General features: G+C 50.2%; 2 protein-coding genes across 6 annotated transcripts in view, besides 6 other annotated features; one reads left to right on the plus strand and one right to left on the minus strand.

Moving 5' to 3' along the window:
* DIDO1 (death inducer-obliterator 1) overlaps positions 1-1,753 on the minus strand; it is a 60,162-nt gene extending 58,409 nt beyond the window's left edge. For all 3 annotated transcript variants that reach the window (NM_033081.3, NM_080797.4, NM_022105.5), the window contains exon 1: positions 1,645-1,753. The gene's annotated coding sequence lies outside the window, so the exon portion shown is untranslated. The remainder of the gene's footprint in view (positions 1-1,644) is intronic.
* Positions 1,197-1,246: a silencer, noted in NCBI's record as "silent region_13134". NCBI's record gives its function as "represses an Ori minimal core promoter by ATAC-STARR-seq in GM12878 lymphoblastoid cells {active_cell/tissue: GM12878}" and the evidence as "EXISTENCE:reporter gene assay evidence [ECO:0000049][PMID:35858748]".
* Positions 1,517-1,566: a silencer, noted in NCBI's record as "silent region_13135". NCBI's record gives its function as "represses an Ori minimal core promoter by ATAC-STARR-seq in GM12878 lymphoblastoid cells {active_cell/tissue: GM12878}" and the evidence as "EXISTENCE:reporter gene assay evidence [ECO:0000049][PMID:35858748]".
* Positions 1,937-2,166: a silencer, noted in NCBI's record as "silent region_13136". NCBI's record gives its function as "represses an Ori minimal core promoter by ATAC-STARR-seq in GM12878 lymphoblastoid cells {active_cell/tissue: GM12878}" and the evidence as "EXISTENCE:reporter gene assay evidence [ECO:0000049][PMID:35858748]".
* Positions 1,937-2,730: a biological region, named in NCBI's record as "H3K27ac-H3K4me1 hESC enhancer GRCh37_chr20:61569565-61570233".
* Positions 1,996-12,324, plus strand: GID8 (GID complex subunit 8 homolog). 3 transcript variants are annotated; one of them, XM_047440247.1, is made up of 6 exons: positions 1,996-2,102; positions 2,573-2,673; positions 5,340-5,469; positions 6,836-7,032; positions 7,344-7,541; positions 8,588-12,324. In XM_047440247.1, exons 3-6 carry the CDS (start codon positions 5,352-5,354, stop codon positions 8,759-8,761), a joined length of 687 nt encoding a protein of 228 aa, XP_047296203.1. In that variant the 5' UTR covers positions 1,996-2,102; positions 2,573-2,673; positions 5,340-5,351; the 3' UTR covers positions 8,762-12,324. The 3 variants fall into 3 exon arrangements, with proteins under 3 accessions (XP_047296203.1, NP_060366.1, XP_047296202.1); NM_017896.3 differs by lacking the exon at positions 2,573-2,673; XM_047440246.1 differs by having other exon boundaries at positions 2,096-2,673.
* Positions 2,062-2,730: an enhancer, noted in NCBI's record as "H3K27ac-H3K4me1 hESC enhancer chr20:61569565-61570233 (GRCh37/hg19 assembly coordinates)". NCBI's record gives its function as "activates a minimal SCP1, AML or CMV promoter by ChIP-STARR-seq in naive H9 embryonic stem cells {active_cell/tissue: H9 hESC(naive)}" and the evidence as "EXISTENCE:reporter gene assay evidence [ECO:0000049][PMID:30033119]".
* Positions 2,237-2,366: a silencer, noted in NCBI's record as "silent region_13137". NCBI's record gives its function as "represses an Ori minimal core promoter by ATAC-STARR-seq in GM12878 lymphoblastoid cells {active_cell/tissue: GM12878}" and the evidence as "EXISTENCE:reporter gene assay evidence [ECO:0000049][PMID:35858748]".

The raw sequence follows: 14,945 nt of genomic DNA on the forward strand, positions 1-14,945 counted from the left end.
CCTGTAAACCCAGCACTCCCAGAGGCCGAGGCGGGAGGATGGCTTGAGCCCAGGAGATCGAGACCAGCCTGGGCAAGAAGGCAAGACCCCGTCTCTAAAAAACTTTAAAAAATAAAAATAGGCCGGATGCGGTGGCTCATGACTGTAATCCGAGCACCTTGGGAGGCCGAGGTGGGTGATCATTTGAGGTCAGGAGTTCGAGACCAGCCTAGCCAACATGGTGAAACCCCACCCGTACTAAAAATACAAAATAAGTAGCCGGGCGTGGTGGCGGGTGCCTGTAGTTCCAGCTACTCGGGAGGCTGAGGCAGGAGAATCACTTGAACCCAGGAGGCGGAGGTTGCAGTGAGTCGAGATCATGACAGTGCACTCCAGCCTGGGCAACAAAGTGAGACTCCTTCTCAAAAAATAGAATAAAATAAAATCAAAATAGGCCGGGAGCGGTGGCTCACGCCTGTAATCCCAGCACTTTGGGAGTCCGAGGCGGGCGGATCACGAGGTCAAGACACTGAGACCAGCCTGACCAACAAGGGGAAACCCCGTCTCTACTAAAAATACAAAAATTAGCTGGGCGTGGTGGTGCGCCCCTGTGGTCCCAGCTACTCGGGAGGCTGAGGCAGGAGAATCGCTTGAACCCGGGAGGCGGAGGTTGCAGTGAGCCGAGATGGCGCCACTGCGCTCCAGCCTGGGCGAGAGTGAGACTTCGTCTCAAAATAAATAACTAAATAAAGACCAATAACTGTTTCCCATAGGGTTATGTAGTTGCAAATGAAAAAATTACTGGCATGTACTGCCTCTGCATATGAAGCATAATTTTGTCAAGACCTTATACCTGCAGATTTAGCTCTTTCGATTAACGGAAAATGTCCAAAATCAGTCTCCTCCAACCTATTTGCCGAACTGGACTTACTGTCGCTGAGTAGACCGACCGACATAGCTTACACGTTGTTCAGCTCGCTTGTAAGCAAACACACGAAACCACCTCACCCCTGACTTCAGAAAGAAGCCGTCCCGTGAATTCCTCACAGATGAAATCAGGAGCTGCCCCTCAAGGACTCTATTTCTTCCTTCGGCTCTATCAAATATTTTAAGGTACTTCCCAGCAACGGAAACATGGGACCCTGCAATGACAGACTTCGCATTCCTCCTGAGCGGACAGGCAATAAGCAAGTAAACGCGCAAATACCCAAGTGCGGCCTCAACCCGCGCTCCTGCCGGGAGGGTCTCCAGTCACCGAGTAACCCCGGCCCTGCCCCGCGCCGCCGCCGGGACTCCGCCCCGCAAGCAAGTGGGGTCTCCTTTGTCCCGCGCGCCCTGGCCGCGTCCCGCCCTTCGGCGTAGCCCATGGGAGGCGCCCTGAGGGCAGGGCCCTTCTGATTCCCCACCTGGCCTCGAGTGAGGACGCGCTCAACAACATCTCGAGTAAAGCGGGGGAACTCGCTTCAACGCGCAGACAGCACAGCTCTCGCCCAGCCCGGTCTCGGGTCAGCCGTCTCTCCCTGGACCTCAGGGACACTAGCCCTGGAAGGCCGCCGGTCGGGAGGGGACTCCCTCCCCGTCTGAGGGGCGGCCGCGGACACCCGGCGCCTTTCCCCCGCCCCACCCCGTGCGGCCTCACGCAAACGACAGGAAAAAAGCTGGGACCTTCGCCTCCGACTCAGTGTAGACGTCGCCATCCCGGTTCCAGATTTCCGCGCTCCAACGCCTCCGCAGCAGCCATCTTGCCAGAGGGCCGACGCCTTTTGACTCTGGCGCCAACCCGTAGTGCGTGGTCGCCGCGAGGGGAGTTCTGCGCAAGTACGGAAGCTGAGGTTCCGCGCTTCCGGGAGGCCGTCCGCCCCGCCCCCTCGCGGGGGCGCTTCATTGGTCATCGGCTCGCGCTCTCGCGCTCTCTTGCTGTCGCGAGAGGTGCTGAGGGGCGGCCTCCGGTGCGCCTGCCCTCCCGCTCCCCGCCCCCGCCCCCGCCCCCGCCTCCGCCGCGGCCCCCACCTCTGCCTCCTTCTACTCGGGCGCCCCGGCGGCCGCCACCTCTCCCCAGCCCAGGAGAGGCTGCGGAGCCGCAGCCGCCCAGACCGCGCAGCGCGGGAGGCAGGTTCCGCACGGTAAGATGGCGGCGGCGGGCCCGGGCGGCCGGGCCGAGCGTCTCCCGGGGCCGGGCCGGGCGGGCAGGCGGGATGTGGCCGGGGTGCGCGCCGCCCCCGCTCTGGGGGCCTTGGAAGCGCCGGCGCTGGCAGGTGCGGAATTGGGGCGCGCAGTGAGTCCAGGCCCGGACGGCCGCCCCGCGCCGGTGCCCAGGGGGCAGTCAGGGCTCAGCCTCCAGGCGCGCGGCCTCAGGCGCTGGTGTTCTGGGGCGGTCCCGGCCAGCCTGAGGGGCGGCGGTAGCTGTCTCTGTGGAGGAGCGACGTCCGTAACGAAGTCTTTTTAATAAAATCTGCTGCTTTAAAGCAGAAACCGAGCGGGTGAGGATGTAAAGTGTGGCATGGAAAGTAGGAGTCTTCAGCACACGGGTGTTTTCTTCTGCTGAATCTTTTTATGCTGGAGTTTGAGACTACCGAGTTCTTCCTGCTAACAGGACTGGCCAGTTCTACAAAGTTGTTGCTTTTCATGGGCGCACGTAACTGCCCGGAGTGGAAGCGCTGTGAGTGCCGATCACCGAATGGGCCGAGAGAAAAGGTGCCTTTTCCTAGGGAGCTCTTAACGTTGGTCCTAGGGCCGGGCGCGGTGGCGGAGGTCGAAGTGGGCGGATCACTTGAGCCCGCGAGTTCGAGACCAGCCGTGGCAACAGCGAGACTCCCTTCTCTGCTAAAAATAAAAAAATTAGCCAGGCAGAGTGGTGCGCTCCTGTTGTCCCAGTTACTCTGGAGGCTGAGGTGGGAGGATCGCTTGAGCCCAGGAGGTCGAGGCTGCGGTGAGCCATGATCGCGCCACTGCCCTCCAGCCTGGGCGACAGAGCGAGGCTCTGTCTCAAAAAAAAAAGAAAAAGAAAATGAGTCCTTAAGTTACCATTAATTGTCGTGAATAAAAAGTTGGTCTCAGTGAGTTTTGCAGTTGACAACGAAAGATGGGTGTTCGTGTGTGACAGCGACTCCTGGTTTCTCCTCCACTTTACCTGCCGCTCCACATCAAGTTTTCTTCTGCTGGTGCCACTTTCTCTGCTTTACCTTCAAGGTTGGCATCCTCCAAGTAATGGCGATTCTCATTCCCTATCTACGCTCTTCCTATGGTCTTTGCTGAATTCTTGGCTTTAAATATCCCTGTGCCCCAGCACCGCCCCCCCCGCCCCTTATTTCACTAATTCATGTTTTCAGCTCTGAGCTCAGGATCTGTAATTCAGACACCTGCTTGATTTCTCCAGACGCATGTCTAATAGTCACGTCAAACTTGCCCTGCTTCTCAAACCTGTTCTTCTTCCAGTCCTTCCTCCTTATTTGTGGCCCCATCTTGCAGGGCCTCTCATGCTTGAAACCTGTGACCATCTTCTATTCTTCCCTCTCTTTTGTCCGGTAATCTGTCTAGCAGCAGCCATTGACTCTGGCCAAAGCATCTTGATCTCACCTTGCTCTCCATCTCTTCTGCCGATGTTCTCTCTCGCTTGGGTGTCTCCCTAAGGGACTGGCTGCTCAGATCTCACCACCCTGCATTCATCCCATTTTCAGCCAAGAGACCAAAGTTTTTTAATTTATTGAAACACTTTAGCAGTACTTCGTATAAAGTAGTATGTGTAACGTATGTATCAGTGGCAAAAGAGAAAGACAGAGTGGACGGTGGCGTGCCCCTGCCTGTCTCAGGTATCCACCCATTCTCCCAAAGCCGGAACAGCTGCCTCTGGGGCTTCAGCCATTTGCCCCTCCCACAGGTAACCCCCTCCTGAGTGTCAGCTTTCATGCCCTTATTTAAAAAAAAACAAACAAAATAGGTTTGCCACGTACATATTTGTTGCTAAAGCACATGTCATGTATTTTGTCTTGTTGTTCCTGATAAAACTCACGGCAGATTTGGCCTCTCCTGCAACTCTCTTTTTCTTTTCTTTTTTTTCTTTTTTTTTTTTTTTGAGACGGAGTCTCGCTCTGTCGCCCAGGCTGGAGTGCAGTGGCACCATCTCGGCTCACTAGAAGCTCCACCTCCCGGGTTCACGCCATTCTCCTACCTCAGCCTCCCGAGTAGCTGGGATTACAGGCATCTGCCACCATGCCCGGCAAATTTTTTTTTTTTTTTTGAGACGGAGTCTTGTTCTGTCGCCCAGGCTGGAGTGCAGTGGCATGATCTCGGCTCACTGCAATCTCCGCCTCCCGGGTTCACGCCATTCTCCTGCCTCAGCCTCTGGAGTAGCTGGGACTACAGGCGCCCGCCACCGAGCACGGCTAATTTTTTGTATTTTTAGTAGAGACGGGGTTTCACCGTGTTAGCCAGGATGGTCTGGATCTCCTGACCTTGTGATCCGCCCGCCTCGGCCTCCCAAAGTGCTGGGATTACAGGCGTGAGCCACCGCGCCCGGCCGCAACTCTCTTTTTTCATTCAGCATTGTTTTATGAGAGTCATCCAGGTGACTTTGTGTCATGTTCATTTATTTTAACTGCTTTATGAAATTCTCTTGTGTGAATACATGACCACAGTCCCTTCTCAGCAATGCTAAAAATCTAAACATCTCTGAAACCACAGTTTTTGGTTTTGTTTTTAACCTATTTGGTGGCCAAAACCTCACCAGGTAAAGTTTAATAGCCTCTACCACTTAGTATAGATACCTAACACATTTCAGTGAAGAAATAACGTCTGATGATGGGGAGTGCCCCCAAACCCCAGTGAGGCTGTTACATGGTAAATTGTGCCAAATAATCGTTGTACATTGAAGAATTCTGAATTCCAAAACCCATCTGCCCAAGGGTTTTAAACATGCAGTTCTGTGCGCCACAGTCCCTTGGTCCACGCTGCTGTTGAATGAACGCTCAGGTGGGTGGCTTCCACATTCCTGCCGCTTTGAACGGTGCTTCTGTGAACAGCGTTGTCTGTGTTTGGTGCATCCTGGTGAGTTTTTCTAGAATATAAATGTATTAAAAGTAGAATTGCTGGGTTGTGAGGAGCACACATGTTCAGCTTTGTAAGGAGTACCAGATTGTTTTTGTAGCACAGTCCGTTCTCCTGATACCAGAGTAGAAAAAGTTGAAGTGAACTTATTCTTTGCTAAGCATTGGCATTCTCAGTCTGGTGGGTGTCCCACGGCAGCGTTGTCTTTCCGTACATGCTCAGTGTGGGATTCTCCGGCTCACAGCTCTTCCAGCGCTGCCCTCTGCCCTTGGAGGAGCATCTAAACCCCTCCCTCAGCTGTTATTTTTTTCCTGTAGAAATAAATCAGAATGAGTTATGCAGAAAAACCCGATGAAATCACGAAAGATGAGTGGATGGAAAAGCTCAATAACTTGCATGTCCAGAGAGCAGACATGAACCGCCTCATCATGAACTACCTGGTCACAGGTAATGGCTTACAGTGAGGATGCTGTTGCATGAATGTGATTCTCCCTTTTTGAACACATAAGGAGTGCTGTAGCACTGAGGTTTGATGACGTAGTTATTTGTGTTCAGACATTATGAAAACACAATGCTAACCTGGTAAGTTTGGAAGTTATCATGTGAAAGCCTTTTCTGAAGATGAGATTTTTCCAGGTCTCTGAGACCTAACACAAACCCATTTTTCAGCCTTTGACAGTTTTACAGTTACTCAAAATAATTGAGACTGTTGTGAAGTAAGTATATTGAAAGCCTAAATAGTTGATCTCTTCTGGCCAGTCTGCAAAAATATGCTGGCCTGTTTCTGGAAAGTATGCCCAACTCAGAGGATGGGAATGGGGAAGAGCAGAAGCGTGCAGAGGGAAATAACAGTCAGGCTGTTCTTGATGTCAACTGGAGGAAGGGCAGTGCTGTATATGGCAAGAAAATAGATGTTTTTAAAAGACATGACATGAAAAATCTCCCTCCTGTTAGTCCCCAGTTCCTTCTCCCAAATTAATCTCTGTGAAACTTTTTTGGGCCAAGCATGGTGGCTCATGCTTATAGTCCCAGCACTTTGAGAGACAGAGGAAGATTGTTCGCGCCTAGGAATTCCAGACCAGCCTGGGCAACATAGTGAGACCTTGTCTCTACAAAAAAAAAATGTTAATTAGCTGGATGTGGTGGCTTGTGCCTGTAGTCCCAGCTACTTGGGAGGCTGAGGTGGGAGGATCACTTAAGCCCGGAAGGCGGAGGTTGCAGTGAGCCAAGATTGTGCCACTGCACTCCAGCCTGGGAGAGTGAGTGGGACCCCATCTCAAAAAAAATATTTTTGGAAGGTGAAGAGGAAATTTAGGCCTATAATTATGTCAGGGGCAGGGGAAGGGGCACACATGCTGGCTTTGAAAAATTGTAGACACTCTTAAGAGGTGGGAGTCAACAGGCCACTGCAGGTATAGCTGACCATGGAGGGCCCCTGTGCTGTGGAGGCTGAGCCAGTGTGACTTGCCTAACCTGGCACCAGAGCTGCGGCTGCTGGCGTCTGGACCTATTATCTGTCCTCTCAAAGGAGCCCACACCAACACACTGGGCCAGCAGCCATTCTGACCTCTTTGGCTAATGGGTTAGAGTTTTTGGATGGGATAACAAGGAATGAAGTATACTCTTCTCATTTTCTATATGTATTTTGAGAGCATAACTTGTAAATTATAAAGATATTAATACCGAGTTCCTGAGAAAGTGTGGTTCACATCAGAGGTTATTAATTGAGGCAATTGGAGTTTCTGGAGATACAAAGTCTTTGCCTTAATTCCTTGCTAACTTTCCTAGCAGTGAAGATGGTTTTTCTATTCAGAGGGCTTTAAGGAAGCAGCGGAGAAGTTTCGAATGGAATCTGGAATCGAACCTAGTGTGGATCTGGAAACACTTGATGAACGAATCAAGATCCGGGAGATGATACTGAAAGGTCAGATTCAGGAGGCCATCGCCTTGATCAACAGCCTCCACCCAGAGCTCTTGGACACAAACCGGTATCTTTACTTCCATTTGCAGGTATGTTTCAGGAGAGAGTAGTCTGGTTTGTGAATACTTGATAAGTTAAAGTTATTTGCAATGATTGAGAAATAACTAGGCTAATTTGCTTTAATAATGTTATTTCAATGCATGTGAGGGGGAGAGGTTTGAGTTTGCTCTTTTATGTAGTTCAGAAGCGGTTTTTTGTTTTAAAAATGCAAATTTGATAACTCAGAGATGCAAGAAAAGTCTTCCCTCTGTGATGTACTTTTGATTGGGACCTGGTACCACCTGCCCTAAGTCCCTGGCCTGGGTGTGTGGGGGTCAAGCTTGTCTGTCTCTGCCTCCAGCAACAGCATTTGATCGAGCTGATCCGCCAGCGGGAGACAGAGGCGGCGCTGGAGTTTGCACAGACTCAGCTGGCGGAGCAGGGCGAGGAGAGCCGAGAGTGCCTCACAGAGATGGAGCGTACCCTGGCACTGCTGGCCTTTGACAGTCCCGAGGAGTCGCCCTTCGGAGACCTCCTCCACACCATGCAGAGGCAGAAGGTGGGGCCTGCCAGAGGGAAGCTTTCTTCCATTCCCCATGTGCTCTGAGGGGGCTTCGTGACAACGCCAAGTGTGTGGCTTTGCTGTGTGGACTGAGAGACAGGTGGCTTCTGTGCCTGGGATGCTAAGTGGTTCCTTCATGGCTTTTTTTTTTTTTTTTGGAGGTGAAGTCTTGTTCTGTCGCCCAGGCTGGAGTGCAGTGACGAGATCTCTGCTCACTGCAACCCCCGCCTCCTGTGTTCAAGCGATTCTCCTGCCTCTGCCTCCCAAGTAGCTGGGACTACAGGAGTGTGCCACCACGCCCAGCTAAGTTTTGTATTTTTAGTGGAGATGGGGTTTCACCATATTGGCCAGGCTGGTCTTGAACCCCTGACCTCAGGTGATCCAGTCTCCCAAAGTACTGGGATTACAGGTGTGAGCCATCATGCTCAGCCTCTCTCTGGCTTTTAATCTTTTATCTTGTCAAACTAGGGACAACGGACTTGGTGATCGTTACACAGTATTCACACCCTTTGCTGGTGTCTTATATTTATCTGAACCTTCTTTCTGTTTATGTCCCAAGTATTTCTCATTTAAAATCCTGTCTTCTGAAACTTTTCTCTCCTCGCTGCTATGTTTTTGTCTGGCAGAACATGACAGCTCCTCGCCTTCCCAGACCCAGGTCCCTCTTCCCCCGGGTCCTCTCCCGGGGGCTCTGTCCTCCCTACGCTGTCTTGGAAGGATGGCCTGTCCTAGAGTCCACTTGAGATGTTTTCTTGAGGCTTGTGAGGAGGGTGCTGGTATGTCCTGCTACGCTGGTCTTACCTCTCTCCCAGTCCCCTCAGCACTTTGTTCAAGGCTTGCTCATGGCACTTAACTGCCATCGAGGTTGCATGTGACGTTTAACAACCAGACTGTGAGCTTCCCCAGGCAAGGACTATGTATTTCATGTCCTGAGAGTGTCTCGCAGTTAAGAGCTTAATGTTTGTTTAAACTGCCTCTTTTTAATAGACTCTGCTGGTGCTCTGCGTGTATGGTGGTTTTTATCAGATGTATTTATATTCTAGGTGTGGAGTGAAGTTAACCAAGCTGTGCTAGATTATGAAAATCGCGAGTCAACACCCAAACTGGCAAAATTACTGAAACTACTACTTTGGGCTCAGAACGAGCTGGACCAGAAGAAAGTAAAATATCCCAAAATGACAGACCTCAGCAAGGGTGTGATTGAGGAGCCCAAGTAGCGCCTGCGCTTGCGTGGTGGATCCAACACCAGCCCTGCGTCGTGGGACTTGCCTCAGATCAGCCTGCGACTGCAAGATTCTTACTGCAGTAGAGAACTCTTTTTCTCCCTTGTACTTTTTTTTGACCTGGCATCTTTTTATAGGGAAAAATGGCCTTTGTAGGCAGTGGAAAACTTGCAAGGAAAGCTGCCGTCTCTTTGGCAGTCTGATGCAGAGCCTGCACTCTGGCACTCGCTGAAGAATCTGGAAGGTTGCGGTTTGCTCTTCCAGTGTTCGGGGGCCTCTGGCTGCTGAAGGATTCGGTCTACCACGGAGGGCTGTGCTGTTAGGCTGCATCCCACTCAAAATACAGGAAAAGCACGAATCATGATTCTGCTTTCTGTTAGCTTAGGCAGACATTGGGCCTTCACCTACAAGTTTTTCCTTACCCCTGTGGTTTTTGTGTTTTTTTTTTTTTCTTTTTCCATAGGAAAGAATATATAAATTTGTAAATCCTAATTCAAAGATGGCTCATGTGTGAGGGCATTGAGTTTGATTTGTTTTCCCTTTGGTCTGGGTTGTGTGGCTTTTGGGGGATGCGTGTGAGGGGGCTATGTGTTTTTTAATTTTTTAAATATATATTTTGGTGCTGTGTGTGGTAAGAGACTTGTTCCTAGTGGATCAATGAACCATCTCTTCTGGGCAGTTTTGTTGAAAATAAAGGTTTCTCTTTGATTTCAAGAATGACCAAAATGGCCTCTAAAAGATGTTAATCATCTCAAATGACCTTTTGTCTTTGGGGCGTTCTTCCCCCTGTGATAGCGGCAGTGGCTTTTTCTGGTACCTGCAGCTGGAAAGGCCACTTGGCCCTGTGCTGAGTGAGCGGCCTTCATTAGAGCGAGGCAGCCCTTGGCCGGTGGGGACGCAGAGCCCCAGCAGGTGGTGCACGACTGTTGGCGGAAGGAACGCGTGTTCATCCTCAGTGATCTGCCCTCCAGCATCTCGGCAGCATCTCATCCTCCATCGTCAGCTGGCTCTGCCGATGTCCTGCTTCTGTTCACTCACAGAACTGTCCCCTGCTCCGTGGTGGGCAGGAGGGAAGTGGTGCAGGGCTGCGTGCATTGCCTGCGAGTCGGGACAGTTGATGGGCACATGGCCTTGTAGCTCTGGGCACAGATGTGTTTGGATTCATTGCAGCGGACCACCGGGCACTGTTGACCCCACTGAGCAGTGCTAAGTGTTGGTTTAGTGGATGTTCGTGGAATTGCTGACCCATCCAAGGGCGTCCTTTGGAGCCAGTGGAGCCTGCCGGCGCATCTGAGGGGCAGAATGCTGCTAGCACTTGAATCTGGGATCTCGCCTTATTCTCAAGTAGCAAGGCATCTCGACAAGCATGGTCTAGGTCTGGTGGCCAGCTTGCCAGTACCTGAGCCGGTCGGGTCATCTGCCTCTGAGGGACCGTCCTCACCGAGCTCCTGCATCCCTTGAGTGTTGATCAGGAGGCGTCCACAGCATTGTTCTCGCCTCTGAATGATGCTTCTTTCTGTGTTGGAGCCTGGCGAAGTTGTGTTTTCAAGCCCTCTACTTCTCTTTCCAGTGGGTAGGAGCTTTTGGCAGTGTTTACTTTACCTAGATGGCTTATATAATCCAGTAAGAGATGCAAAGATAAAATTGCTGCGGTTGTTACAGAAGCATGGCGGCCTCCAGACTGACCCATTGGTTGCCCTTTAGATTTTGTAAGGATGCGGTGCTGGGGAGGTGGTGCTTCCCTACCCCCTAGAAATGCTGCCTTCCAACTACCACTCTCCCAGATGTGACCCTTGCGATTATTTCCTCTGAGGTTTGAGGATGAAGATAAGTTGGAGGGAAAGAGAGTAACTAATAGGGGATGAAATATAGCAGAAGCTAGAAGAAAGCGGTGAGGTGAGAGAGATGCATCTGCACGTTTTCTTCAACAGCACCAGGTGATTCAGCATATTCCTAATTACCTTTCACTATTCGTGTATATAAGATCGTTTACTTGCATAATATATCATCAATTTGACATATTCTTAAAACTAGAGGGTGTGAGAAGCACAGCAATAGGAAGTCTCTCCACAAACTAGGGGAACACAAATGGGGTCATTCACGTGCCTGGACTGTCACTATGTGGCTGTCACGTGAAGTGCTGGTGTTGATTTCCATTTCAGCCAGTGGGTAGCTGATAAGCCAGTGCCAGCATCCAGCATGAGCAGATGTCGGGGAGACTGGGAAGTCTCCAGCGTTACTGCTCTCCTTCCCTTCATGATAAGCCAGTGCCAGCATCCAGCGTGAGCAGACGTCGGGGAGACTGGGAAGTCTCCGATGTTACTGCCTGCCTTCCTTTCGTGTGAGGGGCTGCACTTGCTTTTCTTGTGATCTGTTAGTGGACGAGGTCTTCCAAGGAAGTGCTTTGCACACTTTCTTTGCTCCTTTTTACAGTCTTTGTCTTTGCAGCAAGCAAATGAAATTAAGCCACTTTGGGATAATGAACATTCAGTATAATTCTACTTTGTCTCATTTTGGATCTCACTGTTGTCTTTATAAAAATGGCACATTTTACAAAGTAGTTTATTCTTATTATACTTTCTGCTGGAGAGTGCCTTGAAATAAAATGTGAGAGTATTCTGGTACTCTGTGTTCCAGATGCATGAAATTGGGTGAGGAATAACCCCTAGTCTGGAATCTTTGTGAAGCATAGGGTTATTGCAAGGCAAATGGGAACTAACACATCTTGCCATTTGAATCAGGGTCTCCAGTTTCTAGAAAAGGCAGACACTGGTTGGGACCAAAGTCTCCATGGCACATGACTGAAGACTGGTGGTCGTGTGTGTGCGGAGTCCACGGAAGCCTCGGGGAGGTGGAGCTGCTCCTTCCATTCCGTCAGGACGTGATCTGAAAACATGTAGAGAAGATGAGTTGAGGACAGCTTTTCTAAGGCAATGTGATGTCTTTGCTTTCTTATTTCTCTTTCTCTGCGTTGTTAGTTTTGAAGAGTGGAGGAGCTAGGGGCTCCAGAAAGAATCTTACACATGTGTTGAAGACATTGATGTCATAGGGAGCGGGGAGCTGCATTCCCTTCTGGGCTGTTACTGCTAAATCTCAGTATGAACAGACCAGGCGGAAAGCTTGGTGGCCAAGCAGTCTGTGTGCTTCCCCGCTGATGGAGAACGTTGCGTTGTTCACAATAGGGCCTCATGGGTGTAGCCGCATGGCAGACCCATGGCTGGCGCAGCTGCCTGTTGCCGTCTGTCTTCAGTAACTGCTGCTCTGTTAACTGTTCTATTCTGATACTACGCGTGTTGTTTTTTACAACAGGTATGTTTTTGTTTCAGAAATATGTATTGCTTTTCTCATATTTTTTGCAAATTGTATTGTCAACATGGGTCATTTAAAGTCCTGTATGAACCATAACCTGCTGTGGTACCTTTGTACATGTTTGATTCTGTATTCTTTATTCCAGTGTGGCATATGTGCCCCTCTGTATCTTTTGAGAAGTGCGGAATAGGTTGCTTCTACCACCTGTTCTTAATGTAACAGTAAAAGTTTTCACATTTTTCTCAGAACTGTTATCTGGAAGCTCTCTTTTTTCCTAAGGGTATTTTAATAACAAATACTGATGCATTTGTATTGAAAGTTGATATCTTGGAATGGAAGGACAGAAGAAAGCTCGCCTCTTGGAACTGTAGTTGGCTCTCCTCTCACTCTGACAGTGCTGCCCCTTTTAGTTTGTAAATCTGTACTTGGTGTGTTTAATTTGAAACCTATCGGCTGCTCTCTTGACTGGGGCACTTAATGTTTCATAAACTAATTTCCTTGGTGTGAAGGAAGTAGAACTTTTGAGCTACCCACTGCATGATTTTAAACTGATTTTAATAGCCTAAGTAATTACTCTTTTTTTTTTTTTTTTTTTGCTTAATGAAATTTTCCAAACATATTAAAAACAGAGGGAATACGCCAGCACATCCCAGTATCCACCAGTCAGCCTGACACCCACCACCACCTGCCAGAGCCCCAGGCAGGAGATAACTACAGGTGTCTGATTCTGGGTGGCTACCATGCTTTCAGGGCCATGAGCGTCTTCATGAGTGGAAGGCAGTTGTAGGGTTCTTGGAAAGGACTCAGACTGACCCCTTCAAGGGCCTGAGGTGAAATTCAGAAACTGCCCATGCAGAGAAGCTGAGCAGCGGGCATCATGGAGCGAGGCGTTGAGAGCTTGCATGTTTGTTGGGTATCAGAGAACAGGGAAGGCCTCTCCTCACCTGCTGCTCCTCCCTATGTGGCAGTGGCATGTCACAGTGTTCTTGATGTTCACACACCTGTGCCAGTCCATTAGCCTCACGGGTCAGAAGGCAGCACGGTAGTTCTTAGTGGAGGTGGGCATCACCAGGAATGCTTCAGTGTGAGCTCCCACACTACAGTCTGGAGGCTCACACCATCCTTGCACACATGGCCTTCCTGTCTTAGATATTCTGCCTTATTTTGGAATGCCATCTTTGCTTGTGGTTTTTCACTTCTGTTAAAGTAGAACATGGGGTTTGAATGGGCCTTTGGTGTAACTAGCTATGGCAAGAATCTTTTAAGAGATGTGCTCTTTGGAGATACAATGTCCTGAGCTTGTTTGCCTTTTCCAGAAGCCACAAAATGGCTTTGAAGATAAACAGGCCCATGCTACAGAGCCACCGGCACAAGGCACCTGGTGTGCAGGAGCTGAGGTGCAGCCTGTGGTTAATTGATAATAATCATGTCCCCACATCTGCACAGTGGGGGCTGTTTCTCTCATTTCACACCCCAGTATCCACCAGTCAGCCTGGTGCATGTGTGCGGGGAATATTTAAAGGGAATGTGACGTTCTGATTTGTCTGTAACATTTCAGTGTCACCTAGTTCAAGGCCAGGTTTACGGGTCCAAATTGTCCATAGTACAGAAGACCATTTATCAGGTGAAGCCCGTAAAGCCATAGGCACAGCTATAACCAAAAGAATTCATGAAAGGAGTAACAACTGAAGGTGAGTGGGTTTCCTCATGTTTGTAAATGCAGGTCACGTTGCAGGCTCTTCCGCCAGCTGTCCGTCCATGCAAGGCAGTTGGTCACCCCGCAGGCTCACTTCGGAGATGAAGAGTGCTGGGTGCAGCAGCGCCTCCTGTCCTTGGGTCTCTGTGTATTTGAGGTGGAATTGATGAGCTTGGGAACCAGGGAGAAGCGGTGGAGCTGCTGTTGCCTTGAGCTGCCCGTGTCAGGCAAGGTCTCCGCCTGGCTGTGACTTCTGCTTCCTGGAGACACATCTGTAGGCGTTCCTCACACAAACAAGGTTTTCTCCCTCTTGTGGATCACGGTGTGTGACTGACAGCTTTGGTAATTTTCCCAGCTGGCTTTGAAAGTGAAGCAGGCTGACCCGTCACCAAGAATTCTCTGCCATGGAGGGTCATGGAAGAACGGGAAGAGGTGCTGGCGGTCACAGCAGCCCAGGGTTCGTCTGTGCTCGTTTATAGATTTGTGTGCCCATCCAGTCCTCACTGGGCCCTCCCAGTTTTAGAAATGTTGAACACTAGTGCTTGTAAGATTCGAACAATGAGTTTACCAGCTCTGAGAAAAATGAACTGCTCCAGAACCTTCAAGAATGTTTCTCTGTATCACGCCCACATCACACCGAATCCATTTGTCGTCATTGCAGAGTTCATCTTTCTGGTTTTGAGCACCATCTCACACAGTTCTTTGTCTTTTTCCAGTCTGCTGTTGACTGGGTTAGCTCAGCCCGAAAGGTGCCCCCACCTTTGAGGCAGTTCCCGCACGTGATGTCCAGTACCGCGGTCTTCCCTCTTGCTGCTGCCTGTCAGTCATGGCAGAGGAAAGTGTCATCTGTCAGTCTCCTTTTCATGGACTCCTCATCTTGAGAATTGTAGTTGGGCTGGAAGGTTGCAGGGCTAAGTGGGGTGCAGGGAGGAGCCCCAGGCCCAGGGCTGGCTTGTCTTGGTTTACAAGAAGCTGTGCGGGGTCTCCTGGGGCGTCTGTGGGGGGTGTGGATGCAGAGGCTGAGCAACGGGCGCCATACGTAGTGAGGTGTGGATTTGCTTTAGGAAAATCTCTAGCATCGTCTCCCTATAGCAGCACTTGAAATAAACAAGAAGTTAGGTGGGCCAGGCCCAACAAGAGGGAGGCACGCAGCCTTCCAGAAGCAGAGGCCAG

The sequence above is a fragment of the Homo sapiens genome, chromosome 20 (genome assembly GCF_000001405.40).
Source record: "Homo sapiens chromosome 20, GRCh38.p14 Primary Assembly".
Classification (NCBI taxonomy): Eukaryota; Metazoa; Chordata; class Mammalia; order Primates; family Hominidae; genus Homo; species Homo sapiens.

Coding starts and splice junctions, on each gene's coding strand:
- GID8 (XM_047440247.1), top strand. CDS start 5,352: ATGAGTTATGCAGAAAAACCCGATGAAATCACGAAAGATGAGTGGATG. Junction 5,470..6,835: donor CATGAACTACCTGGTCACAG/GTAATGGCTTAC, acceptor TTTTCTATTCAG/AGGGCTTTAAGGAAGCAGCG. Junction 7,033..7,343: donor ATCTTTACTTCCATTTGCAG/GTATGTTTCAGG, acceptor CTCTGCCTCCAG/CAACAGCATTTGATCGAGCT.